This window comes from Homo sapiens, chromosome 12 (assembly GCF_000001405.40).
Source record: "Homo sapiens chromosome 12, GRCh38.p14 Primary Assembly".
NCBI classification, from domain to species: Eukaryota; Metazoa; Chordata; class Mammalia; order Primates; family Hominidae; genus Homo; species Homo sapiens.
Window position 1 is genome coordinate 32,247,940 of NC_000012.12, and position 26,224 is coordinate 32,274,163.

Consider the following 26,224-nt stretch of genomic DNA (forward strand, 5'->3'; position numbering starts at 1 on the left):
CCACGTGGTGGTGCGCACCTGTAATCCCAACTATTCGGGAGGCTGAGGCAGGAGAATTGCTTGAACCTGGGAGGTGGAGGTTGCAGTGAGCCGAGATCGCACCACTGCACTCCAGCCTGAGTGACAGAGCGAGACTCCATCAAACAAACAAACAAACAAAAAAAACAAAAACCCAAGAAGACCTCTGTCTCCTAGAGCAGTCACCTAGAATCCTAGAGAAAAATGTCTTTCCAAAAGGAAGAAATGCAGAACTGTGTGAGTAAAATGAAGCTAAGAATTAATTACTGGATTTGGCAAGATGGAGGTTGCTGATGACTTGGCAGGAGAGTTTCCCTGAGGTGATAGGAACCAAGGTCTGATGAGAGTAGGCTGAAGAGCAAATGTGGAGAAACAGAGATGGCAAGAATCAACAGTTCATATCAGGATTTTGCTGTGAAAGGCAGCAGAGGGATGGGGTACCATTATTTTCATTTTGTTTTGTTGTTGGTTTCTGCTGCAGTGGTAGTTTATGTTGAGATGTATATTTTAAACTGATGATCCTTAAAGAAGGAGAAATTGATGAAGGAGAGAGGTGGGAGGGATAATTGCAAAAATGAAGTCCTTGAGCAGTGAGATCTGCTTCCTTATTATGCATATAGATGAAACATTAAAATGTAAAACAGACTCTTGTGCTGATTTTAAGAACTCTAAGTTAGAAGAGGGTGGGGAGAACTGGGAAGCTGGGGAGCCCAAGATGCAGGATTTTGGCTCTTTAGCTCAGCTAGGTTCAGGTTCTTGTCTCACAACCAGGAGGAATTAGGCACGTGGACACCAGAGGGTGAGTAGAGTAGAATTTATTAAGCAAAAGGAAAGCTCTCAGCAAAGAGGGGGGTCTGGAAAAGCAGGTTGTTGGCTGCCCCCTTCACAGTTGAATACTGTGCTTAAGGCACAAATTCCTGGCGGCTCCACCCCATCCTTCCAGTGCGCATGTGGGCCCTTAGGGTGAGCCACTCCATATTGATTTACTTCCCTTACTGCACATGTGTTAAGGAATGGAATTTTCCACTGCGGGCATGTTTAGGCAAGCCCCCTGTGCAAGTTCCCACATCTGCACAAAATATCTGGTGTAAGCATTTGTGGGGCGGGTTGGAGGTTCTCCAGGGACCCTTCCCTTACTGTCTGCCTAAAGCAAGCTGGCTAACTTCTTACACCTGTGTATTATACAGCACCAGTCTTTAGGGAAAGGAACTTCAGGTGGGTAGGGTAGAGTATAGCAATAGCTGGCAAGAAAAAAAAGATTTGAAGAAACAAACTCTGTGGTGCCCTAGGGAGCAGATGTGGGATGGAAAAGTGAGGCTGGGCCTTAAATCACAAGAAGCCCAAGGTGTACAGGGATCTCTTTACAACAGAACGTGTTCTTATATATGAGTTATTTGAAATAGCTTAATTATACCACTATACTGTCATTAATAATGGATAAATGTACTTCAAAGTAATTTATTAGTTTGTCTGTGAATATGTCTTTCCTTGTCTCTTTTCCCCCTTACCTAGAATGTAAACAAGAGAGAAGAGAACTCCAGATCTGATTTTCATGGAGGAAGGTGATACAGATCATTATGGCTGTAAGGGGAGGATTCTTGTGTTTCCCAGGTGTCCTGAAACCATTCACATGGAGCCTAAGTTAAAATGCTCTGGGTTCGGGAGTGTCTTCCTGGAGATCACTAAGGGCTTCAGGACTCCTTGAGATGGAGTTTTCTTTTCTCTCTCTCTCTTTTTTTTTTTTAGTATTTTAAAATGTATTTCGTTAATTAGCAGCAGTATGCCAAAGTTGTTCCATTATTATATTTTGTTCATTCTTTTGTACAAGTGTCTTCCAATGTGATTTGATAATGCCAACAATTTGCAAGTGATTTTATTGCAGCATGACTTTGGTTCCCAGGAATGCTGAAGCACAGGTCCTAGAACAGAGGCTTGAAAAGGAAATAAAAGGGATTTGATCATAAATGCTTCTGGGGTTGGCATACCAGATCATTTTGAGCTCAAATAGGAGACAAAAGAAAGGATGTTGGGAAAGCTGTATGGTGGAGAGGCTGAACTGTTGGAATGAAAAGACAAGAAGCATATTATTATGTTAATTCCAGCACCCTAGATCTGCAATGCTGAAAGGACTGCCAAAACTAAAGCTTGTCCTACACCACGTTCATCACAAAGAAATTCTGTTTAGACGTTGAGTTAAACTTTCTCAACTGTATTCAGTACAGGATTAAGTGGTTGAGATGGGCCATTCTGCAGTTACACTGTTTCCGTTCCAGTCTGGGTCTCCTCATGTATTAGCTGTGTGGACCTTGGGCAGGTAACTCCTTTGTGCCTCAAAGAAATGGAGATGACGATAATACCTACCTCAGTGGGGTTATTGTGAGGATAAAATGCGATTAATAGAAAATAATTAGAATGGTGCCTGGGATACATACTGCTCATTAAACATTGTATATTTTTATTATTAGTGCACTGTGCTATAATAGGATGGCTATCTAGAAAACATCATGCAATTTGTAATGCACATTTATCATCCAGTTAATTGAAAGAGGTAGTGATGGGACAGTGGTGGCAGACATTGAATGCTCAGGGATGAAAAATGAGACAGGTTTTATCTTGTTTTGTTTTATTTTTGCCTCTCATTAGGTATCCACCTACTTTTCAAAATTGTGTTATTTTAATCTTTATTGCATACAGACATATTCTCAGTAAATTGAGGCCACCATATGGAAGTGTAAGGATGAAGCCAGGCGCAGTGGCTCATGCCTGTAATCCTAGCACTTTGGGAGGCTGAGGTGGGCGGATCATTTGAGCCTACGAGTTCAAGACCAGCCTAGACAACATGGATAAATCCTGTCTCTACAAAAAAAATACAAAAATTAGCCAGATGTGGTGGCATGTGCCTATAGTCCCAGCTACTTGGGAGGCTAAGGTGGGAGGATTGCCTGAGCCCAAGGAGGTCGAGGCTGCGGTGAGCTGTGATCATACCACTCACTTCACTCTAGCCAGGGTGACACAGTGAGACCCTGTATCAAAAAAAAGAAGAAGTATAAGGATGAAATCATAAGCTTAGGTCCTAGTTCTTTTGAGTGAGTTAGAACCTATATAAAATTTTCTCCTTTTGGAATTTTATTTTTCTAATGTTTACCTCATTATTTTCTGACTATAATAGAAAATTATCCTTAAAGTTTGCCATTACAAAGGGAATTGTACTTCTTTAAAATGCCAATTAAAAATATCTTCTTGTTGTTCTTATATATATTTTTAAGTTATATATGCATATGTTAAAATATTTAAGTGAAATAGGAATGACATAAAAATAAAATCTTCCTCCTCACTACCTCAACCTCCAGTCCCATGCTATAGAAGTAAATACTTAAATTAGTTTGCTGTAACAAATTACCACAAACTTTGTGGCTTAAAGCAACACGAATCCATCTCATAGTTGTGTAGCTCAGCATTCTGAAATGCGTCTCACTGGGTGAAAAATTAAGGCATCAGCAGGACTGGTTTCTTCCTGGAGGCTCTAGGGAAGAATCTTTTCCTTGCCCTTCTCACGTTCTAGACCCCACTATTAACACTCATATATTGTTTCAGAAATGTTTAATGCTCCTTGATTTTTATCACCTAATTGTATATTTTCTAGAACTCTCCATTCTTTTATATACAGCTACATACTGTTCTACTATATGGATGCACCAGATGTTATGTGTCCAGCTCCCTGTGTTAATGGAGTCTTGGTTTATTTTCAAGTTTTTATTTTCATAAATTGCATCATAAATAATATCTTTATACTTTCATATTTATGCATTTTGACAAACAGATCCATGGGATAAGTTGTTCTTGGTGTAGTTTCCAGGTAAAGCAGGATGTACATTTACACTTTTGATACTTCTTTTTAAATTGCCTTCTCAAAAGACATCTATTATCTTTCCCTCCAGTGATGAGTAAGAGTTCATATTTCCACACGGTTTTGGGGCGCTCGGGAGTTTGTTTTTTTTACAAAACTTTTAAAACTTTACCACTATATATATAATATATTTATAATATATATTTATAATAAATATCATATATTTATAATATATATTTATAATAAATATTATATATTATATATTTATAATATATATTTATAAATATATATTTATAATAAATATTATATATTATATATTTATAATAAATATTATATATTATATATTACATATTATATATTTATAATAAATATTATATAATATATACTATATATTTTATATATATTATATATCTTGTATATATTATATATATAACTTCTCTTTTTACTTCGTTTCACTTGAGTTATAAATTTGCCATGTTTGGAGGTTTTCGATGGTCCTAGCAAACCAGTTTCCCTAGAAGCAACTTCCCTTCAGTCCGATTCACATCAAAGATGTGACTTCAATACCATCTGATGTTCAAGCTATTTATTTTAGCAGTGGTCTTACAAGTCGGATAGTGGGAGCAGGTGGGTGGCATGGGCCAGATTCAATCAGAGGTCAGATGACTGCCTGTCCAGGAGGGTCTCCATCTGGAGACTATTCTCAGAGTTTGGGAGATTCTTCCCATTTCTTCTACCTGCATTTAGTTCAGTCAATTATCAGGCGTTTCTTTCATAAGAGGAGGTTAAGCTAGTCTTATAAGGGTAAGCTTTGTTAAAGGTTTACGAGATTTGCATCCGTGATGAGGTGGCCTTATGTCCTGGAAATCCCTGGGCCAGCTTGGAAATCCCCAGGCCAGGTGGCCTCACGCTGCTAAGTGGCACATAGTGTCAGTCCTGTGAGAGCTTGTTAATGCCTTATAGCTATCATTAATCTTGTAGTCATGATATGTCTCCTATAGGATGCTACACAGTTGGTTTTAGCATTTTACTATCGTTTTGTTGTTGATTACTTTTGTTTTCTTTCGTTTTTTGTTTCTGTTTTTGAGACAGGGTCTTACTCTGTCATCCCGGCTGGAGTGCAGTGGCATGATCATGGCTCATTGCAACCTCTGCCTCCCGGGTTCATATGGAAGGCAGAGGATTCTCCCACCTCAGCCTCCTGAGTAGCTGGGACTACAGGTGCACACCACCGCACCCAGGTAATTTTTGCATTTTTTGTAGAGACTGGGTTTTGCCATGTTGCCCAGGCTGGTCTTGAACTCCTGGGCTCAAGCAGTCGGCCCGCCTTGGCCTCCCAAAGTGTTGGGATTACAGGTGTGAGTCATCGTGCCCAGCCAGCATCTTACTATGTTTATTAGCCATTTGGATTCCTTTTTCTTTGAATTGCTGCTTGTTAATATATTGGCCCTTTTTTCTGTTACATTATTAATAATGCCAGGAATTATGCTAGTTGCTATGCAAGATGCAGACTTGAGGAAAACCTGGTCCCAGCTTTCAAAATGCTTACTTTCCAAATCTGACTCATCGTTTGACTTTAATGCCCCACTGGACTTCTCTAACAGCATTTTCCATTTTCCCTTTCAAAAGGACTCAAAATATACAAATTTAATTTGATGATAAGAGCTCAAGAAAGGCCGTGGATTCTTTTTTTTTTTATTTTTATAGTAAAAGTGATCAGACTGTTTCCTCTTTTAAGAAGAAAAAGAAAGCAGAGGTCAATATTAAGCTTCCAATTAATGCTTATTCATCACAAATAGTAAGTAAATAATGACAGAAATAATTCCTTAGTCACTCTCTAGCACACTTCTTTTTTATTTTTAACATTTTTCACTATGTGAGATTTCCTAGATTTGTTTTATTTTCTGTTTCCCTCTAACTGCAATACAAGCTCTTGTGGACTGGAACCACACCTGTCATATTCATGCTGTATCTCACCTGTCATATTCACTGCCAAATCCCACCTGCCATAATCACTGCCGTATCCCACCTGTCATAATCACTGCCGTATCCCACCTGCCATAATCACTGCCGTATCCCACCTGTCATAATCACTGCCATATCCCACCTGCCATAATCACTGCTGTATCCCACCTGTCATATTTACTGCTGTATCCCACCTGTCATAATCACTGCCGTATCCCACCTGCCACATTCATTGCGGTATCCCACCTGCCATAATCACTGCCCATATCCCACCTGCCGTATTCACTGCCGAATCCCACCTGCCATAATCACTGCCATATTCCACGTCATATTCACTGCCATATCCCACCTGCCATATTCACTGCCGTATCCCACCTGCCATAATCACTGCCCATATCCCACCTGCCGTATTCACTGCCGAATCCCACCTGCCATAATCACTGCCATATTCCACATGTCATATTCACTGCCATATCCCACTTGCCATATTCACTGCCGTATCCCACCTGCCATAATCACTGCCCATATTCCCACCTGCCATATTCACTGGCAGATCCCACCTGCCATAATCACTGCCGTATCCCACCTGTCATATTCACTGCCATACCCCACCTACCATATTCACTGCTGTATCCCAAGCTTCCAGAGTAGGCTCTAGCATTTGTAGGTGCTCAGTGAATATTTGCTGAATTAGCAAAATAGAAAATTTAAATCTCTTAACAGGTACCACGTTTTGACATAATCACTTGTAACATCTATTTAGAAATCCATAGGCAGCACAAGCACATAAATAAAAACCTGACCTTCCCCAAGATCTTTCCTCCTCTGTTCAGCATGCTGTGTCAAGAGCAGCACATTGTGTGGTCACTGTCTCATTCAATTGGGACAGTCGCATCATCTGCCCCTTGCTGAATCGAGCCTTTGAATTAGATGAAGGAAATTTGGGCCAAGTCTTCTGGAATTTAGTGACTACTATTATCTAGTTTCCCTCTGGTGCAATTAGAAATGAGCAATGAACCAATATATAACCTTGCTTAAAAAGCAATTTCCTTTACTATTCTCCTTGTTTAATTAGTCTGTTTTGTTCTCCCTGAGCTCGAGAGGCATTTTTTCTCCCAAAGCAGAAGCATTAAGTAAGATGCATTCAGTGTTTTCATGAGATTCATTCATTCTTCTTGGACAAGATCTTGGCCACTGTATTAGTCTGCTTGGGCTGCCATAACAAAATATCACAGACCAGGTGGCCCAAACAACAGAAATTGATTTCTCACAGTTCTGGAGTCTGAGAGGTCTAAGATCGAGGTGTCTGCTGATTTGGTTCCTGCTGAGGGCCCTCTTCCTGCTTGTGACAGCCACCTTCTTGCTGCATCCTCACGTGACTTTTCCTCTGTGCTTGCATGGAGAGAAAGAGACAACAAGACAGATTCGCTGATGTCTCTTCATATAAAGGCACTGATTCCATCAGGCCACTGATCCCATCATCCCCCAGCCTCATAGCCTCATCCAATCCCATTTAATTCCCAAAGGCCCTATCTCCAATTACCATCACATTGGGAACTGGGGCTTCAACATAGGAGTTTGGGGGAACTCAAACATTCAGTTCATAACAGCCACCATGTGCCAGTCATCTGGACAGAGGTTGAAAAAGCCCTATCCATGCCAAAATCTTACCTCTTAAGGTAGTAGAGGCATACTGCTAATGTGAACCTTTAAAAATGCTCATTTATTCTACAGATATTCCTTGTTTATGCCATATTACTCACTGGCTTAAAAATCTTCTAATGATGAGGCATGGAACTTGGAGAAACCACCCAAAGTTTCTACCATGTTCTGCAAGGCTGTGATCAGGCACCTGCTTACCTCTCACACTGCTCCAGCCACACTGGCCTGCGTGCTGCTGCTTTCTCCCTTAGGGCCTTTGCTCTGGCTGTTCATTCTCCTTGTGGTGCTTTGCCCCAGATAGCTGGCTCATTCTCATCATTCAGGTCTCACTTAAGTGTCATCTTTCATAGGACATCCCTGATACCCAATCAGAATTACTCCCTTGGCCAGCTGGCCTGTGCCAGATGCTTTGCTGGATATGAAGACACAAAGATCAGTAGTGCGGCCAGGCGTATTAAAATATTACCCTTAATCAATGTTGACTCGACATTAATAATAGAGCATATTAATGATAATATTATTAATTAATTATTATTAATTTATCAATAGAGCAGATATTGAACACTTACTATTTGCAAGGCATTATGCTAAGTCTTTGCCATTATTATAATTATTGTTATTTTATTTTTTATTCTTTTAGAGGTAGGGTCTCACTCTGTGGCCCAGGCTGGAGTGCAGTGGTACAATCATAGCTCACTGCAACCTTGACCCCCTGGGCTCAAGCAATCCTCCTGTCTCAGCCTCCTGAGTAGGCAGGACTACAGCCATGCACTACCATGCCCAGCTAATTTTTTAATTTTTTGAGACGGGTTTTTGCTATGTTGCCCAGGCTGATCTCGAACTTCTGGCTTCAAGCAGTCCTCCTGCTTTGACCTTCAAAAATGCTGGGATTACAGGTGTGAGCCACTACGCCCTGCCCTTTGCCATTATTTATCTAATTTAACCCTCACAGCCATCCTCTGATATACATATGATTATCATCCCCACTTTGGGTCAGATCATAAAACCGAACCTTAAGGAGGTCAACTCACCTGCCAAAGGCCACACACAGGAAAGTGATAGAGCTGAGATTTACCCAGTTTTGTTGAGCTTCAGGTTTTAAAGCCAGAAAGATTTCTCTTTTAGAAAATGATAAAGAAAAGTTTTTTTATTTTGAAAAATTGAACAAATAATAGATAAGAAGGAAAATTGTAAAAAGAGACAGTGATGACTAATGAAGATAAAGTTGTTTTGTAATCAGACAGACCCTGGTTTGTATTCTGACCCAGCCACCAATTGGCTGTGTCACTGTGGATTCAACACTTCTCTTATCTTTGTTTTTTATCTGTAAAAAGGAAGTTATGAGCATTACACGAAATAAACACTGACATGAACAGATTCTCATTCAATGTTAGTTTGATTTTATTGAATAATATTAACAAATTACAGTATCTAATTATGCAGTTCATCATCAGACACAAATAAGCACTTAATTTCTTTTTAATGATATAAAATCTTTTCTGGCTGGGTGTAGTGGCTCACGCCTGTAATACCAGCACTTTGAGAGGCCAAGGCGGGCGGATCACAAGTTCAAGAGATCAAGACCATCCTGGCTAACATGGTGAAACCCCGTCTCTGCTAAAAATACAAAAATTAGCTGGGCATGGTGGCAGGTGCCTGTAGTCCCAGTTACTTGGGAGGCTGAGGCAGAAGAATTGCCTGAACCGGGGAGGCGGAGGTTGCAGTGAGCAGAGATGGCACCACTGCACTCCAGCCTGGTGACAGAGGGAGACTCTGTCTCAAAAAAAAAAAAAAAAAAAAAAAATCTTTTTAAAGCATCACTAGGATCAGAAATGCAAATTTTTCAGAAATTTCAAAAATGTGGAGAAAAGGTTGGACATTTTGTTAGGGAAGTAAAAGCATATACATATAAAATTATATTTGTTCTGGAATATAAAATATGTTATTTGTATTGCTCACTATAGATCTAGTGATTGTAAGAACTTATGTAGCATTTTATCAAGCCTCCATATCTCTTTGGAGACTTCAAAGACTTTAGAAAGGTATAGATAATATCAAATGTTGGTCAAGATGGTAGTCAACAGGAACTCTCAAACATTGAGAGTAGGCATGTAATTTGGTACAACCATCTTGAAAAACTGTTTGGCCTTATCTAGTAAAGCTAAAGATGTATAGATCCTAAGATCTAGCAATTCCAGTTGGAGGTATGAACCCTAGAAAGGCTTGCACTTTTGAGTCAGAAGATGTAGACAACAAAACTCACAGCAGCACTGTTTGTAACAGAGAAAACTAAAAACAACGGAAATTACTATCCACAGTAAATAGAATGAATTACAGTAAATATGGTTATACAATGGAACCTTATGTTTGTGCAGTTTATTCAAGTGGTTGCATGTGGCCACAGTTCATTTTGTTCTCAATATATATAATATATAGATGATACATGTATGTGTGTATACATATATTTCATTGTGTGACTATACTACATTTAATTTTTCCATTCTGTTGTCATTTGACGTTTCAGTTTCAGATAGTTAGCTATTATGAAAGAGCTACTATGAACATCCTTGTTCATGTATTTTGGAGCATGTATATGAGCATTTCTGTTTATTATACGCCTAGAGGTAGAATTGCAGCAGAGTATGCTTGTTCAGCTTTAGTAGAGACTGCCAAACAATTTTCCATAGTGGTTGTACCAGTAGACAGGCCCAATATGTGAGGGTTTGCTTACTCCACAGCTTCACCAACATTTGGTATTTTTTCATTTCAATACTTACTTTCATTTTCATTTTATATTTCATTTCAAAACTTTCATTTCAGTATTTTAGTTCATTTTGATGCATTTTCATTGTAGTCACTCTAGTGAGTGTATAGTGATATTGTACTATGGTTTCAACTTGTATTTTCCTTATGACTAATGAAATCGAAGACCTTTTAATATGTGTGTTGGTCATTTGATATGCTATTATTTTAAAGTAATAAATATAGGGTCCAGACCTATGGGGCTTAGCGGGTGTTCTCTCCGTGTGTGGAAACGAGAGATCTAAGAAATAAAGACACAAGACAAAGAGATAAAGAGAAGACAGCTGGGCCCGGGGGACCACTACCACCAAGACGCAGAGACCAGTAATGGCCCCGAATGGTTGGGCGTGCTGATATTTATCGTATACAAGACAACGGGGCAGGGTAAGGAGGGTGAGTCATCCAAGTGATTGATAAGGTCAAGCAAGTCACGTGATCATAGGACAGGGGGCCCTTCCCTTATAGGTAGCTGAAGCAGAGAGGGAAGACAGCATACATCAGCATTTTCTTCTATGCACTTATCAGAAAGATCAAAGACTTTAAGACTTTCACTATTTCTTCTACCACTATCTTCTAACAACTTCAAAGAGGAACCAGGAGTACGGGAGGAACATGAAAGTGGACAAGGAGCGTGACCACTGAAGCACAGCACCACAGGGAGGGGTTTAAGCCTCCGGATGACTGCGGGCAGGAATGGATAATATCCAACCTCCCACAAGAAGCTGGTGGAGCAGAGTGTTCCCTGAGTCCTCCAAGGAAAGGAAGACTCCCTTTCACAGTCTGCTAAGTAACAGGTGCTTTCCCAGGCACTGGCATTACCGCTTGACCAGGGAGCCCTCAAGTGGCCCTTATGTGGGCGTAAGAGAGGGCTCACCTCTTGCCTTCTTGGTCACTTCTCACAATGTCCCTTCAGCACCTGACCCTATACCCGCCGTTATTCCTTGGTTATATTAGTAACACAACAAAGAGTAATATTAAAAGTTAATGATTAATAATGTCCACGATCATCTCTATATCTAATTTGTATTATAACTATTCTAACTGTTTTCTTTATTACACTGAAACAGTTTGTGCCTTCAGTTTCTTGCCTTGGCACCTGGGTAATCCTCCACCCACAAATAAATAAAGGATTATTGGAAAAATTACTTAATAAGATTGATTACGATCTATGTAAAGCAATGTATCAGTGGACTGAGGCTTGGTTATCCTAACAGTGACACATGACTTGAGAATCTCAGTAGCTTAAGGCAAGGTTTAACTCTTGTTCTTGCTGCATGTCTATTTCCAACAGTCAGTGGGTCTGCTCCACATCAGCATCATTCTGGCAGCTTCTGTGAAGGGACAGCCTCAATATGGGGCATTGCTGGTCTCCAGGCAGAGAGAAAGGAGAGATGGCAACACAATGGGCCACACACAAGTTCTTAGAACTTTGGCTCAGAAGTGGCACACACTTCACTTACACTCACATTTCATTGGCCAAAGGAGATCAGATGTCCAAGACTGATGTTAGTGAGTGGATTATATAATCTAAAGGCAAGGGCTTGTAGGAAGAGGCAGTCAATATTTGTGAACAAGAGAATGATCAGTAACATCTTTCTGCAGAGTAGGCTTATAAGAGTATTACTGTAGGATAGAGAAAACAAGCTGTGTGTCTGTGGGCTGTTGTCAACACATATATATACACTACACACTTTTTTTTTTTTTTTTTGAGATGGAGTTTTGCTCTTATTGCCCAGGCTGGAATGCAGTGGCTTGATCTTGGCTCACCACAACCTCTGCCTCCCGGGTTCAAGTGATTCTCCTGCCTCAGCCTCCCAAGTAGCTGGGATTACAGGCATGCACCACCACGCCCAGCTAATTTTTGTATTTTTAGTAGAGACAGGATTTCTTCATGTTGATCAGGCTGGTCTCGAACTCCCCACCTCAGATGATCCACCCGCCTCCGCCTCCCAAAGTGTTGGGATTGCAGGCATGAGCCACCACGCCCAGCCTCACTTTTTTTCTTTTGTTTTGTTGAACTGGTTGCCAACGTTTAAAAATTATGACATTTAACAAAGATGCAGATTTCTGGCTTCTTTTGGAAATCCTAAGCTATAGCAAGAATCATTTGGAACTGAGTTGTAGCTGCCCTTCTGGTGGGATGTGCACTCTCTGGTTTTCCATGACTGTATCTGCCTGTCTTCTCTGCAGCAGTGCCTTTCAAACATTTTTTACGTAGCTCACAATAAACAATACATTTTACATTGCTACCAAGGACTCGCATGCATGTGTGTGTGTCTGCATTCATATATAGGTATAGATATGCATATACATATACATTCCAAAGTAAAATACATCAAGGAAACAGTGCTTACCATTACTCATTGAAATTGTCTGTTCTATTCTATCCTATTGTATTCTAGTACTTTTTTTTTTTTTTTAATGCTGGAATCAACTCCCTAAATTGATTTCACAAACCACTTCTGGGTCATAGCCCATAGGTTGAAAACATGGTTGTCTATCATGTTACTTGTCTGTTTCTCCTCTAAATGCTATTGGTTAGTTTTCTAGCCTGGATTCCTGTCTAAGCCCTTTAGGGTTTCAGGACAATTCACTGTGTGGGTGAGCAGCATCTGCTTCCCTTCACTTAAACCTGGGCAATTACTGGTTTTGCCCAAGGGTCTTAAAACTTAAACTGCTTGAATATCTGGCAGTTTCCCCGCTGACTTTTCCCTTGTCTGATTTCCTATTTCAATAAAAATAGCCTTGTAGGCGAATATGCCACTGATTCGGAGAATCTCAGTTTCCTGACTGGGCTAGGCAATCAAGGGCAAATGAAAGTGAGTCCTGTTGTACAGGAAGGAGAGTTCTCAGATGATGAGGATGGTCATGGGGACTTTGTTACCGAAGGAGGCCCAAGCTCATGATTTCACAGGATTGATTCCTCCATCTCACTGATCATTTAACAAATACTTATGGATGACCCATGTGCCAGACCCTGTGCTAGGGAACTCATCCAAAACTTACAAAAATTTCTCCTAGATGCACAGACGATGAATAGTAATTACCTCTTCCTGTGTTTTACCCTTCCTATTTCTTCTTTTCTTCCCTTGACCCAGAAATTCATCAATTGCCCTAGGGCTGTTCCGGCTTAGTGCTTGTTGGTCAGTTGGATGTGCCCTTCTGCTCAGGTCTTTGTGGGCTCTCACTGGTGTTCGTATGCATATAGAATGGATGTCTGCATCACATTGTAGGGACAGTGTATGGGGATGTGAAGACAATAAGTGAAAGTCTGCCGCCCACTAAGACACAAGCAGCATTGCTATAAACTCCAGTGGAAAAAGGTGATATTATAGGGAAGGAAAACCGTATTGTCATATTTTCATGGAATTCAGTGAATTGCATTTTGAGGACCAGTGCCATTTTGATGCTGGAGGATTCCACCACCTTTGTGGTGTTGTTTCCTGGAAGAGATTCTACTACTGAAGTGGTGTTGGCAGCAGGTGTACCCAGCAAAATCAGGTAGCAAGGCCTGGTGGAACTTGGCAGAAAGGAGCTCACTGGGGCCATCAGAGACAGTAGTGAGGCCCCCTTGTGCCAGTTAGGGGGCAGCAGAGACCCAAAAGTGGATTTTACCAGAAAGGGTTGAAGCAGGAGAGGAAGGAAATGGCGAATGCCTTGACAGGCCATGTTTGTGAGTCCAGGAAGACAACTCATGGGAGCTCTCAGAAATAATTGTGGGGTGAGGTGAGTGCATACTTGGATAGAGATGTTACAGTACCTGACAGGGGCAAGACCCAGTAATATATGGGTTGTTACTATTAAACGTGACCCCATTTTAAGTCGTGGGTTTATATAACAAGGTTATTTATGCTTGTTATATGCTTTATGTGCATTACCTATAAATGTCCTTAAACTTTTATCACAGTGCAAATGCAGCTCATTACCAGAATCCGTGAGCACTGTCTTCAAACCCTCCCCATTGCCTTGACATTGGCTTTTTCTTAATTCTGTCTCTTTTTTTGGCCACTCTGCTCTTGATCTTGTGTCTACATCTGAGCCTGAAATTGGAGAGTCCTTGGCTACTCTATAATCTGAGTCTTCTACTTCCTGCTTTCCCTATTCAGTCTCCCATTTCCTTCTCCAGCCCCATCCCTGGTACTAGCAAGTCCCTCCCTGATGTCTTCACCATCCGTTCCTTTCAGACACCTGCCACCCTTCACATTAGCAAAATGACAAAAAATAAGAATAAATAAGGTGAGTATAGTAGATTGCATAGTGGCCCCCAAAAGATACACCACAGAGCTCCACACATACTAACCCTTGGTCCCTCAGAATGTGACTTATTTGGAATAAGGGTCTTTGCCAATGTAATTAAGATAAGGATCTAGAGATGAGTCCATCTCCTGGGTTACAGTGAGCCTTAAAGCCAATGACAAGTATCCTTATAAGAGACAGCAAAGGAGAAGGTGGCCATGTGAAGACAGAGACAGAGATTGGAATTCTGCTGCCATAAGACAAGGAATGCCAGGGGCACCAGAAGCAGGAGCTTTCTGAAGGTGCATGGCCCCTGCCAGCACCTTAATTTCAAGTGTCTGGCCTCCAGAACTGTGAGAGAACAAACTCTGCTGTTTAAACCACCAAATTTAGGCTGTGAGTGGTGGCTCACGCCTGTAATCCCAGCACTTTGAAAGGCCAAGGTGGGCGGATCGCTTGAGCTCAGGAGTTTGAGACCAGCCTGGCCAACATGGTGAAATCTCGTCTCTATTGAAAAAAAAAAAATTAGCCAGGTGTGGTGGTGCACGCCTGTAGTCCCAGCTACTTCGGAGAGAGGATCACCTGAGCCCGGGCAGCCAAGGCTGTAGTGAGCTATGATCTGGCCACTGCACTCCAGCCTGGGCAACAGAGTGAGAGCCGGTCTCAAAATCAAACAAAAAAGCCACTAAGTTTGTGGTAATTTATAACAGCAGCCCTAGGAAACTGAGACAATGGGTGACCATACAGCACCAAAGGACTTCTATTTCATGATTGGTGAACATTTTAAAATAAGAAAAGGCCAGGCATGGTGGCTCACGCCTATAATCCCAGCACTTTGGGAGGCCGAGGCGGGTGGATCACGAGGTCAGGAGTTCAAGACCACTCTCGCCAAGATGGTGAAACCCTGCCTGTACTAAAAATACAAAAATTGGCCAGGTGTGGTGGTGGGCACCTGTAATCCCAGCTACTCGGGAGGCTGAGGCAGAGAACTGGTTGAGCCCGGGAGGCAGAGGTTGCAGTGAGCCAAGATCACGCCACTGCACTCCAGCCTGGGTGACAGTGAGACTCCATCCCAAAAAGAAAAAAAAAAAAAAAGTATTACAGAAAAGAATGTGAGAACATGTTTCAAGTATTAACAAATAAAAGAATGCATGCTAAATAATTATTTGCAACACATCATAGAGCCAGTTCTCACCTGGCAATAAGGTACTCCAAAAGTTCATTCATAAGTAAATTGAGACTCAGAATGCATATTTTTCCTGCAGGAGTCATGTGATATATTATGGATGTTTTCAAATATTAATCCATAATAATCATTTTAAGTTAATCATATGCGGACTATAGTTTTCTTGAAGCGAGGGATTGTTCTACACGTATTTAAGTCTTGCTGTCTAGCAGAGTGCTTTGCATGGGTAGGGCCTCCAATAAATGCTTGATGAGTAGTAGTTCATTAAAAAATTCTTTAAAATTTTTTTTACCACAAAACATCTGCAAGTAGAGTAGTTCATTTTTTAAAGCACCATACACTAATATTTAATAGCAGCTGTTTTAGAGTCAGATTGCAAGGCTTCAGATCCTGGCTCTGCCACTTACAGAATGCAAATCATTAAGCAAATTTACATAATCTCTGTGTGCTTCAATTTATTTGTCTATAAAATTGTGATATTAATACCTATCTCACAATGCTGTTGTGAGGAGTAAATGAATTATTATGTACTAAATACTTAGAACATTACTTGCATGTACGGATTCAATAAATCTTAAATATTGTTATTAGCTCTTAAGTATATCTCCTCAACTAAATTATAAACTCTGAGGAAGAGGCAAGATCCTATCCTTTTTAAAATCCCGGCATCTACACAATTTCTTGCATATTGTGTGCACTCAGTGAGTATTTGTTGAACTACTAAAAGGAATGAATGATTGGCTATATGTTTACAATACCTTCTCCATAAAAAATACATATAGAATTGATAACATTCTAACATTTGTTACAGTAAAAAATGTTTTTAGAAATTAAATAGAATTTTTTTTTTAAGACAGTGTCTTGCTGTGTCGCCCAGGCTGGAGTGCAGTGGCATGATGTCAGCTCACTGCAACCTCTGCCTCCTGGGTCCAAGCAATTCTCCTGCCTCAGCCTCCCAAGTAGCTGGGACTACAGGCACGTGCCACCACACCCTCCTAATTTTTGTATTTTTAGTAGAGATGGGGTTTCACCATTGTTGGCCAGGCTGGTCTCAAACTCCTAACCTCAAGTGATCCACCTACCTTGGCCTCCCAAAATGCTGGGATTACAGGTGTGAGCCACCATGCCCAGCCTAAATAGAATTTTTAAGATGTCAGAGCAAAAAGGAAATTATTACCAGTGTGAAATTCTTCACTATATTTTAGCCCCTAAGAGGCAGAGACCTTGTCCTGTTTCTTTGTAACTGCTGCATTTTGCGTGATGTTTTGCAGAATAGGCATGTGCGACCTTGTACACAGAAAGGGCTTAAGCAAATCCTTATGCAGATTCCTGGAGTTATTTTTCTGTGCTGGTCGCTCCTTTCCAGAATTCTACTCTGCAACTTCCAGCTGCCTTAGCCTTCTGAACTCAGAGCCCCCTCTCCTTACCTCCACGAGGCCTCTGGGGTCTCTGGGTTTCCCCTTCTTGCACTTGCAGTTTATACATTGCCTCCAAGCAGAAGGCCCAGGTGTTTCTCATGCTCATCCCATCTGTTTCCCCTCTAACAGAGATTAGTCTTACAAGGCCTCGTGTTCAGTCTGAAAACAGCTGCTTCCTGTACTTCGTTCAGTTCTCTAATTGCTCACAATAAAAAGCTAAGTCCTTTCTTACTTCATCATGGCTAGAAGCAGTTCCCATGCGAATGTCTTGGTTAAAGGAGAAAAATGTATAAGGTAACTATAAACTAAGACTTTCACATCAATTCAGTTGGTTCTTTTGTTAAGAATTACAGGGTTGGGCACGATGGCTCACACCTGTAATCCCAGAACTTTGGGAGGCTGAGGCGGGAGGATCCCTTGAGGCCAAGATTTTAAGATCAGCCTGGGAAACATAGTGAGACCCCGTTTCTACAGAAAAAAAAAAAAAAAAAGTAAAAATTAGGCACAGTGTCGCATGCCTCTAGTCTCAGCTACTTGGGAAGCTGAGGCAGGATGATCAATCCCTTGAGCCCAAGAGTTCGCGGTTACAGTGAGCTATAATTGTGCCACTGCATTCAGCCTAGGTGACACAGCGAGATCCTATTTAAAAAAAAAAAAAAAGACAAAAAGAAAAGAAAATTACAGTATAATTTTTCTGTGTTGAAGAGCTTCTGCTGGACAAATTTTCAGTCTTGGTCGGCAGTTTAACTCAAGAACAGACTCTTCTATCTTCACTTCCAGCTTACATAAATTAGAATGGAGAAGAGAATTCTAAAGTATAAAGAATGTACACTGTTCTCTGCCCCAATTACACATCTGTCTCACGGCTTGTTAGGCAGCATGATGAATAAGCGTGTCATCTCTCTCCATTTATTTGTGCATCCATTTTTATATCCATAGTCTATAGAGACTTTCATTGCTTCTCACAAATTTGTTTAAACTTTTAATAGTGATATATACAGACTTCCTCATCTAAGCACAGACACGATTTCTATTTAGGTCATTTCTGTGCAGTCACTTCCTCTTCCTAGGTCATAGCCCTGTAGTTCTATCATACATAGACTGTCTATTTTAATAGAAACCTGCAGCAATGGTGGAAGGAGGGGAACGGGAGTCATTTCATCAGAAAGATGCATTGTATCTACTGGAGAATTTTCTTGTCTTAGAAACACTAGAAATTATATTTTCTGGAAATTTCAAATTTTACTAAAATGTGGTCATTGTCAATTATGTAACAGGGGCTTTCCTTTTCAATATAGCGACTATCAGTAATAGTGCTGGAAATATGATAACAGGCCACATTCTAAAAATTCATTTCCTCTTTAATTAGGACCTAACTCTTGGAAACTCCTTCATGTGAGCTGCCACAACATCATCTAAAAGCAAACTGCCAAAAAATCATCTTAAACCGCATCATCTAAAAGTTATTTTGGCAAAATGCATGGTCTCAAATGGAAGATAATGACAGCTAAGATAGAATTTAGAATGAGCCCCAGCACTTTGGGAGGCCAAGGCGGGTGGATCACTTGAGGTCAGGAGTTCGAGACCAGCCTGGCCAACATGGTGAAACCCTGTCTCTACCAAAAATATAAAAAAATAGCCAGGCGTGGTGGTGCATGCCTATAATCCCAGCTACTCGGGAGGCTGAGGCAGAAGAATCACTTGAACCCAGGAGATGGAGGTTGCAGTGAGCCAAGATCACGTCACCGCACTCTAGCCTGGGCAATAGAATGAGACTCTGTCTCAAAAAAAAAAAAAAAATTTAGAATGAGCACGAAGTTAATGAATAATACCTCAGTCACATTCTAGTAAGAAACCATTCCTCCTTGTGGGAATTAGAGCCCTGCCCCCAGAACCCTGGCTCTGAGGTTTGACTTCTGTTATGTACTGACAGTCCCCATTACGCTCATGGTTCCATGGTGCCAGCACAGGAGTGGCTGATGACAGAGGCTGACATGTCATGCACATCATTCTGTCTATCTCATTGTTTAGTGTCTCTTCCTTGGTAAATGCTCTCTGATAGGTGTTACCATGCAATCGAAAGATCACACACCTGATACTACTATGTGTCTATCCATTTGCCTCTTTCCTAGACATCTTATCCCTAGCCTTTCAAACTTTCTCCTTCTGGATCCCTGCATATGTACACAGTGTATACAATGAACTGTAATTAAATAAACTACATAATTTACTTATTGATTAGGTCTCTTTTAAACTATTTCTTGTGAGTTCAAGAAAGCAGAGATCTTTGTAGTTTTTTTGTTTTGTATTTTAATTACTACTGTATCCCTAGCACTTATAATAGTGTGTGGCAGAGAACAAGTACTCAGTAAATAGTTGCTGGGTGAATCCATACTAAATATAAATCTTTGTCAATTAGTATATGTGTGAGAAATATCTATTCCTAGTTAGAGGCTGGTCTTTTCATTTACTTTATTGTAAATGATGTTTGAATGAACAGAAGTATGGAATTTTAATGTAGTTAAATTTATCAATCCTTATTAAGCTATTTTTTTGTTTCTTATTTAAGAAATTCTCTGCTGCAAAGTGATAAATATGTTCTGGTATATTTTCTTCTAACCCATCTTTCCCCCACTGATCTGCAATGACATTTTTGTTGTTAATTAACTTTTATTACCAGTGAATCTGTTTCTAGGCTCTCTATTTTGTTTCATTGTCTGACTATCCTTTTTAAAATAAGTTTTTTTAGAGACAGGGTCTAACTCTGTTGCCCAGGCTGGAGTGCAGTGGCACAATCATGGCTCACTACACCCTCTAACTCCTGGGCTCAAGTGATCCGCCGCAGCCTCCTGAGTCACTGGGACTACAGGCATGGGCCATCACTTCTGGCTAATTTAAAAAGTGTTTTTTTTGAAGAAATGGTGTCTTACTGTGTAGCCCAGACTGGCCTCAAACTCCTGGCCTTCCTCCCACCTCAGTGTCCCAAAGCACTGGGATTACAGGTGTGAGCCACTGCACCCAGCCTATCCTATTTATTTTTATTTACCATTATTTATTTTTAATTGCTGGACAGTTTGACAAGTCCAGTTTGAGCTAGTTATGTATCACATCCCATTTGCAAGGGTTGTTTGTCTTGTTCAAAGGACAATGAGTACAACCAATGTCAACAGAAGTTGTTTTTCTTCCTTCGAAGAGAAGGGATGCGCCAGGATGGAGAGTGCCTGCATTCCTGCCCATCAGGGTACTATGGACACTGAGCCCCAGATATGAACAGATGTGCAACTTCTCTCGGAGAAAACAAAATAAAAAATACGTCATTGGTCCATGTTCAACTGCCCATCGTAAAAAAGAAATACATCATTGGATAAGCAACTTCATTCAAAAGTCAGTGCCACAGCAAGCAAGAAATTAGAAGCTTGTAAAAATAAGATGGAATTTTGAGCTGGGCACGGTCGCTCATGCCTGTAATCTTAGCGCTTTGGGAGGCCAAGGCAGGTGGATCACTTGAGGTCAGGAATTCAAGACCAGCTTAGCCAACATGGCGAAACCCCGTCTCTACTAAAAATACAAAAATTAGCCAGGTGAGGTGGTGAGTGCCTGTAATCCCAGCTACTTGGGAGGCTGAGGCAGAAGAATCACTTGAACCCAGGAGGCGGAGGTTGCAGTGAGCCAAGATCGCGCCACTGCACTCCAGCCTGGGTGACAATAAAAATAAATAAATGAAATGAAAATAAAATAAGGTGGAATTTTCACCCATTGACAAAAAGTTAATAATTATTATTGTATCTAATTTCTGGACATTGAATAGCTCATAAGCCAACCTACTTATGAGCATCTGTTTTCTGGATGAGCTTCAACCGTTGCAAGTGGATTTTTCTTCTTTGGACTACTTGTCAAACTGTAGTGTGAATCAGAGGAGTTTAATACAGATTGCTGAAGTTTTTGATTTGTAGGTCTGGGATGGGACTTGAGAATTTGCTTTTTTCCAAGTTCCCATGTGATGTTGATACTGCTGGTTCTGGGACCACATTTTGAGAAACTTTGTTGTCAATAATGTGCCCACAGCTGCATTATTTTTTTTTTATTTTCCCAAGAATTAATGTCATCAGATTTAAATAGTAGTATATATTAATACTGAATGACAAGTTAGAAAGATAGATTTGTTTAAAAGATAATATTGGAAATAGGCACATGAATATTTTGAACTTAAAATAAATGTTTCAGTGATTTTTATTAAAGTAATATGAATATTGTCCTCCAAAACTTTGATGATAGAGTTTTGTTTCTTTAATGTGAATTACTTTCTTACATTGTGAAAACTTAGAGCATATTCTTCCTCAGGCCTAAGTACTGTATAGGAACTATTAAGTGAGAACTTTAACAGTAATTCTCCATATGCAAAAAAGCATTTTTACTAGTCTGTACTTAACAACTTGCAAATTTGCTTTTATCCAAAAGGAAGAGAATTAGAGAAATGATTTTAGTAAGAAATGCTAAAATCAAAAAGATAGGTAAATATTTAAGGAATCATTGTAGTATTCCCAACAGTTTTATAGATGAAATTTTAAGTTCTCTGGGTTATAACTTGCTTTCTGATGCCATTATAAACCTGATGGCTGAGACACTGGTCGATCACCCATTAGGAATATATGCTAAAATTGTTGCTTTCAGTTTTTAAAATATGGCTTAATTTTATGTTTGCTTAAAATTGGTTTGTTTTGGCCTGGTAATATCTCGGGTCCCACACATATGATCATTCACAATTATCATATCGGGCTGAGCAGGGTGGCTCACGCTTGTAATCCCAGCACTTTGGAAGGCCGAGGTAGACAGATCACATGAGTTTGGGCCCAGCCTGGCCAACGTAGCAAAACCCCATCTCTACTAACAATAAAAAAATTAGCCAGGCGTGGTGGCACGTACCTATAGTCCCAGCTACTCGGGAGGCCGAGGCAGGAGAATTGCTGAACCCAGGAGGCGGATGTTGCAGTGAGCCAAGATGGCACCACTGCTCTCCAGCCTGAGCGACAAAGCCAGACTCCCTCTAAAAAAAAAAAAAAAAATTATTATTATTTAGTTTTATCTTCTCTATCTGTTAATGAGAGAGACTAAAATAATGATGAAGAAAACATTTTAATATGGTATATGAATAGTAATAAAATAATATAATAAGATGTATCTCCAAAATCTGAATCTAATGGTACTATATTCGTATTATAGCTGATTCTTTACAAAAAGCAGTCTTGGCTTACTGGAAAATTCACATTTTAAAAGTCGATCAGTTTCATTTTTTCTGGAGAATGTTAGCTTTACTGAAAGTATAAAAGTTTCGTTGTTGTAGACACCAGGTCCTAATAAAAACAAGTAAAAGAAGAAAAAGTTTGTTATGGGTGGAACTGATTAAGTGAGGTACCACTGAAGAATTAAAGATATCTCACACATACTTTGATTAATTAAATGGTGAATAAGAACTTGTTTTAATCTCATTATTCAAGTCACTAAAATGTTAAACAGGTAAGACAAAAAGGCAATTATTACAAGTTTTTACGTAAAACTATGATAAGATTTTTTAAAAAGTGAAACACCACCCATACACACTGAATTCATTTGGCTGGTATTGATTCTGAATATGTATTTTATAATATTTCATTGGCCTTGACCCACAAACTAAACACAGACATTTTCTCAATTAGTCATTTTCAGGTTTATTGCCTAAGATGCTAATTGAAATTCAGGGCAGGCAAAAATACATCATTGGCCTTTGTATATCTTTGAAAGGCCTTCTGATGGGACCTTGCTCCGTATAAAGGCTTCTCTTCTCTGCAAACTGAAAGGGACCCTGTGTGTGAAGTGTGTTCAGTGGGGTCTTCAAGGAACAACATAGAGAGCAGCCGCTGGCCAGCCGGAAGCCACCATGCGCTGTCCTCAACAGAGCAGCTCCAGGCTGTATGACCCCCAGGCAATTAGGCACCAAAAGAAGATGCTCACACTTTCCAAAATTCTTTCCCAGGGCTGGGGGAAGGGAGCCAGACTTGGAGCCCCTATGTGGAACTTAGTCTCCAAGGAAAGAAAGCATGTTCTCATCCTACAAACACTCCATTTTCTCCCTGAATTAGTGTCCTTTCTTTGAACCAGATGAGACTTCGCTCAGAGCTGGAGGCTATGGCCCCTTAGTTCTGTTTCCACAGTGCTTCCAGCCCTCTCCCCAGTTTGGAGGCCCCCAAAATGAGGCGCTTATCTCTTTGATTTTGTGAAAGAAAATGCACAGTTCGTCTATTTGGGGCTTCTGAAAGATGTTAGGCCCTGAAGAAGGTTGACTGGGAGACTGAGTGGGGAGTGACAGACCATGACCTTAATTACTGACCTTTTGTTATAGATTAACTTCCTTCCTATTTTATTGTTCCTGGCCCAGACCAGATAGCACTTGAGATAAAAGATCCCTTGATTATTACATCCTTAATGTGGAATGTTAAATACTCCCTTCCCCCAAGGAATCACTGCCTAAAACCAGTCAGATTGCTGCGACTGTGCACTAACCTTGTGTGGAAAATGCTGTCATCCTGTTAAGCTTCCCCATACCGTGCCTGTATAAACAATCCTCAAACCTCGCTGCTTCAGAGCACTAACCCCATCTTTTTGGAGTCCTCCTGGGTGACCCTCCTCAAACTTTGTGCTCAGTATTTTAATCCTATTGCCTGGATCTCGATTTAAAGTTGATAATTTTCAGAGAATTCTTCATTTTCTCTTTGCATATTTTATTGTTTCCTTTCCATCTGTTTTTCTTTTACTTACTGCCTGAAGCCAAGAGACAATGTCAAGGTGTCTTAGTGAAAGGAGCTCATACTTAAGGGTTCCTGGGTCAAAACCTACATCTCTCATTTCTTAGCTCTATGATCTACCTGTTTCCTTAATCTCTCTGGGCCTCAGTTTACCCATTATTGTAGTAAAACATGTACTACAAGTTACTTTTTATTTAACTACTTATGCCATATTTAATTCCCAACCACTAATATTACATATTAGTTATATATTGTTAAATCATAATGTTCTTTCACTATTTCTTTTATGACTGAGAAATTTCTTTTCAATGTATAAATCATATACATGTTGCTCCTGGACAAAACTGAGGGTCAGGCTGCTACTTCTCCTGGCCCAATAATGAGATGCAGACAAACTGGGGAAGAGAGGTTTTATTTTTGCATTTGGTTACAGGGAGAAGGCCTAGAAATTGTCACCACACCAACTCAAAATTACAAAGTTTTCCAGAGCTTATAAACCTTCCAAGCTGTATGTCTACATATAAGTGTGCATTCATCTAAAGACATAAGTGATTAACTTCTTTTAATCTATAACTAAGATCTGAGTCCTGAAGACCTTTCTCTGGAGCCTCAGTAAATTTACTTAATCTAAATGGGTCCAGGTGCTAGGGTGATTACCCTTATCTTGTCTCCTGCTAAATCACAGAGGTTTGGGGAGTTCCTTCAGACCTCCAATAAACTTGTGTGTGGAGGCCTGGGGAATTTCTTCAGACTGACAATAAAACTTGTTTATTCCAGTCTGGCCAACATGGTGAAACCCTGTCTCTACTAAAAATACCAAAAAGTTAGCTGGGCGTGGTGACGTGCACCTGTAATCTCAGCTACTAGTGAGACCTGGCCTGCCACAATGTGGTTAAGGAAACATATTAAAACATTTTTAAAAATCAAGATTTTCCATTTCAATGGCCTTGTAATTGATTGAAAAGTTTATTTTGAGTCACATGGTGTTCTAGACTCTTGTGGAGGGTTTAGATTGGAAAATAAGTAATGACAGTGAAGCAGTTGTTATGTTCGTATAAAAGAAAGAAAAGAAAAACCCACAGGACTTTATTTGGTTTTAAAAGTCTATCTGCAAAGATATAGTTTATAGGAAAATTCAATTCCAAATGTTTCTCATTGCTCTGGAGTGTGTGAAGAAGAGGCCTAAGAATATTCTTAGGAAGGCAAAAACTTTCAGATGCAGTTCATATGCTTGACACCTCTGTTTCACTTTTGGCTGACTTGTGTAGTCTGATTTTTGGTCACTGACAGGCTCAGCATCATGAGTGTGCAAGACGTAAGGGAGGCAGGACCTTGTCTTTTCAATGGTGTCTTCCTGGGTGGCTGCCAGAATTCATCATTATTGCACTCTACTCTCATAGCCTCGATTTCTGTTTTTGTTTGCTTTTACTGAAATTGGAGTAGTGACACAGAGTCAGATCATTGAAAAGACTCACAAGATTCCAAAGGGTATACTGGTAGAGTATAAACTGGAGGATAAGGTACAGCGGGAGAAAGCAAGTACCAGCAGACACAGAGGGGGCTGAGACTCCTGCAAGCAGCGCCTTTCCTCAGGCTCACTGGATGTGCTCTGTGTTTGGGTGTGAACCACCAAGATGCATGCATGATATCTGTTTTCAGGGAAGCCAAGATACAAGTGTACAGAAAAGCCATTATACCCCCGTCACATTGCTGAAACTGGATGATTAAACCACGTACCAAGCGGTGTCTAAATTTCAGTAATAATGATCAGCTAGTAGAGGGTGCCTCAAGGCAGTTTCAGACTTTAAATAACATAGTAGAAATCACTAGCTAGTCCATTTCATCCTTATCATTGTTGCAGAACTTTCTCCTTAGTTCAGCTAAAACCGGGTTCTTGTCACACAACCGGAAAAGATTAGGCTCAGGGACACATAGAAGGGTGAGGGGCAGAATTTATTGGGTGAAAAGGAAAAAGGAAAAAGAACTCTCAGCAAAGCGAGAGGGAGTCTTGCCAACAGGCCCTCCACCTCACAGACTGAACACCAGGCCACCACACAGGAACTGAAGAGGCCAGGCTCCTCCCCGCTGAACAAGCGTAAACTTCTCTTGGCTCCACCCTCTTCCCCCAGTGTGCAGGTGGGCATTATTCAGAGAGAATCAGCTGAGAAAGGGCAGGCTTTATCCGGGACCAGCAGTCCAGTTCTTCAGCCTTCAGGCTCTTTTAGGCTTGAAGGCAGGGTTTCGTGGGGGACCTTGGTAAGAAGAGTTCTTTTCGACACTTTAATGTAGATTGTAAGAGGTAGAAAAAAAT

The 26,224-nt window shown here is 40.4% G+C and overlaps 1 protein-coding gene across 30 annotated transcripts in view, besides 6 other annotated features; it reads left to right on the plus strand.

Annotated features, from left to right (window-relative positions):
- Positions 1 to 26,224, plus strand: part of BICD1 (BICD cargo adaptor 1) — a 276,787-nt gene that overhangs the window by 141,093 nt on the left and 109,470 nt on the right. The window contains exon 3 of one of the 30 annotated variants that reach the window (NM_001413177.1): positions 1,531 to 3,272. The exons of the other annotated variants lie outside the window; for them this stretch is intronic. Coding sequence (NP_001400106.1) covers positions 1,531 to 1,584 — 54 coding nt within the window. The 3' untranslated portion in view covers positions 1,585 to 3,272. Of the gene's footprint in view, positions 1 to 1,530; positions 3,273 to 26,224 lie in introns of those variants that run through there. 30 annotated transcript variants of the gene reach the window in all.
- Positions 655 to 1,854: an enhancer, noted in NCBI's record as "MED14-independent group 3 enhancer chr12:32401528-32402727 (GRCh37/hg19 assembly coordinates)". NCBI's record gives its function as "activates an origin of replication core promoter dependent on BRD2, BRD4, P300/CBP and CDK7 cofactors, and independent of MED14, by STARR-seq in HCT116 cells {active_cell/tissue: HCT116}" and the evidence as "EXISTENCE:reporter gene assay evidence [ECO:0000049][PMID:35650434]".
- Positions 4,504 to 4,843: an enhancer, noted in NCBI's record as "active region_6186". NCBI's record gives its function as "activates an Ori minimal core promoter by ATAC-STARR-seq in GM12878 lymphoblastoid cells {active_cell/tissue: GM12878}" and the evidence as "EXISTENCE:reporter gene assay evidence [ECO:0000049][PMID:35858748]".
- Positions 17,111 to 17,160: an enhancer, noted in NCBI's record as "active region_6187". NCBI's record gives its function as "activates an Ori minimal core promoter by ATAC-STARR-seq in GM12878 lymphoblastoid cells {active_cell/tissue: GM12878}" and the evidence as "EXISTENCE:reporter gene assay evidence [ECO:0000049][PMID:35858748]".
- Positions 17,201 to 17,250: an enhancer, noted in NCBI's record as "active region_6188". NCBI's record gives its function as "activates an Ori minimal core promoter by ATAC-STARR-seq in GM12878 lymphoblastoid cells {active_cell/tissue: GM12878}" and the evidence as "EXISTENCE:reporter gene assay evidence [ECO:0000049][PMID:35858748]".
- Positions 18,165 to 18,274: an enhancer, noted in NCBI's record as "active region_6189". NCBI's record gives its function as "activates an Ori minimal core promoter by ATAC-STARR-seq in GM12878 lymphoblastoid cells {active_cell/tissue: GM12878}" and the evidence as "EXISTENCE:reporter gene assay evidence [ECO:0000049][PMID:35858748]".
- Positions 23,523 to 23,723: a silencer, noted in NCBI's record as "peak1664 fragment used in MPRA reporter construct". NCBI's record gives its function as "represses an SCP1 promoter by STARR-seq MPRAs in K562 erythroleukemia cells {active_cell/tissue: K562}" and the evidence as "EXISTENCE:reporter gene assay evidence [ECO:0000049][PMID:32103011]".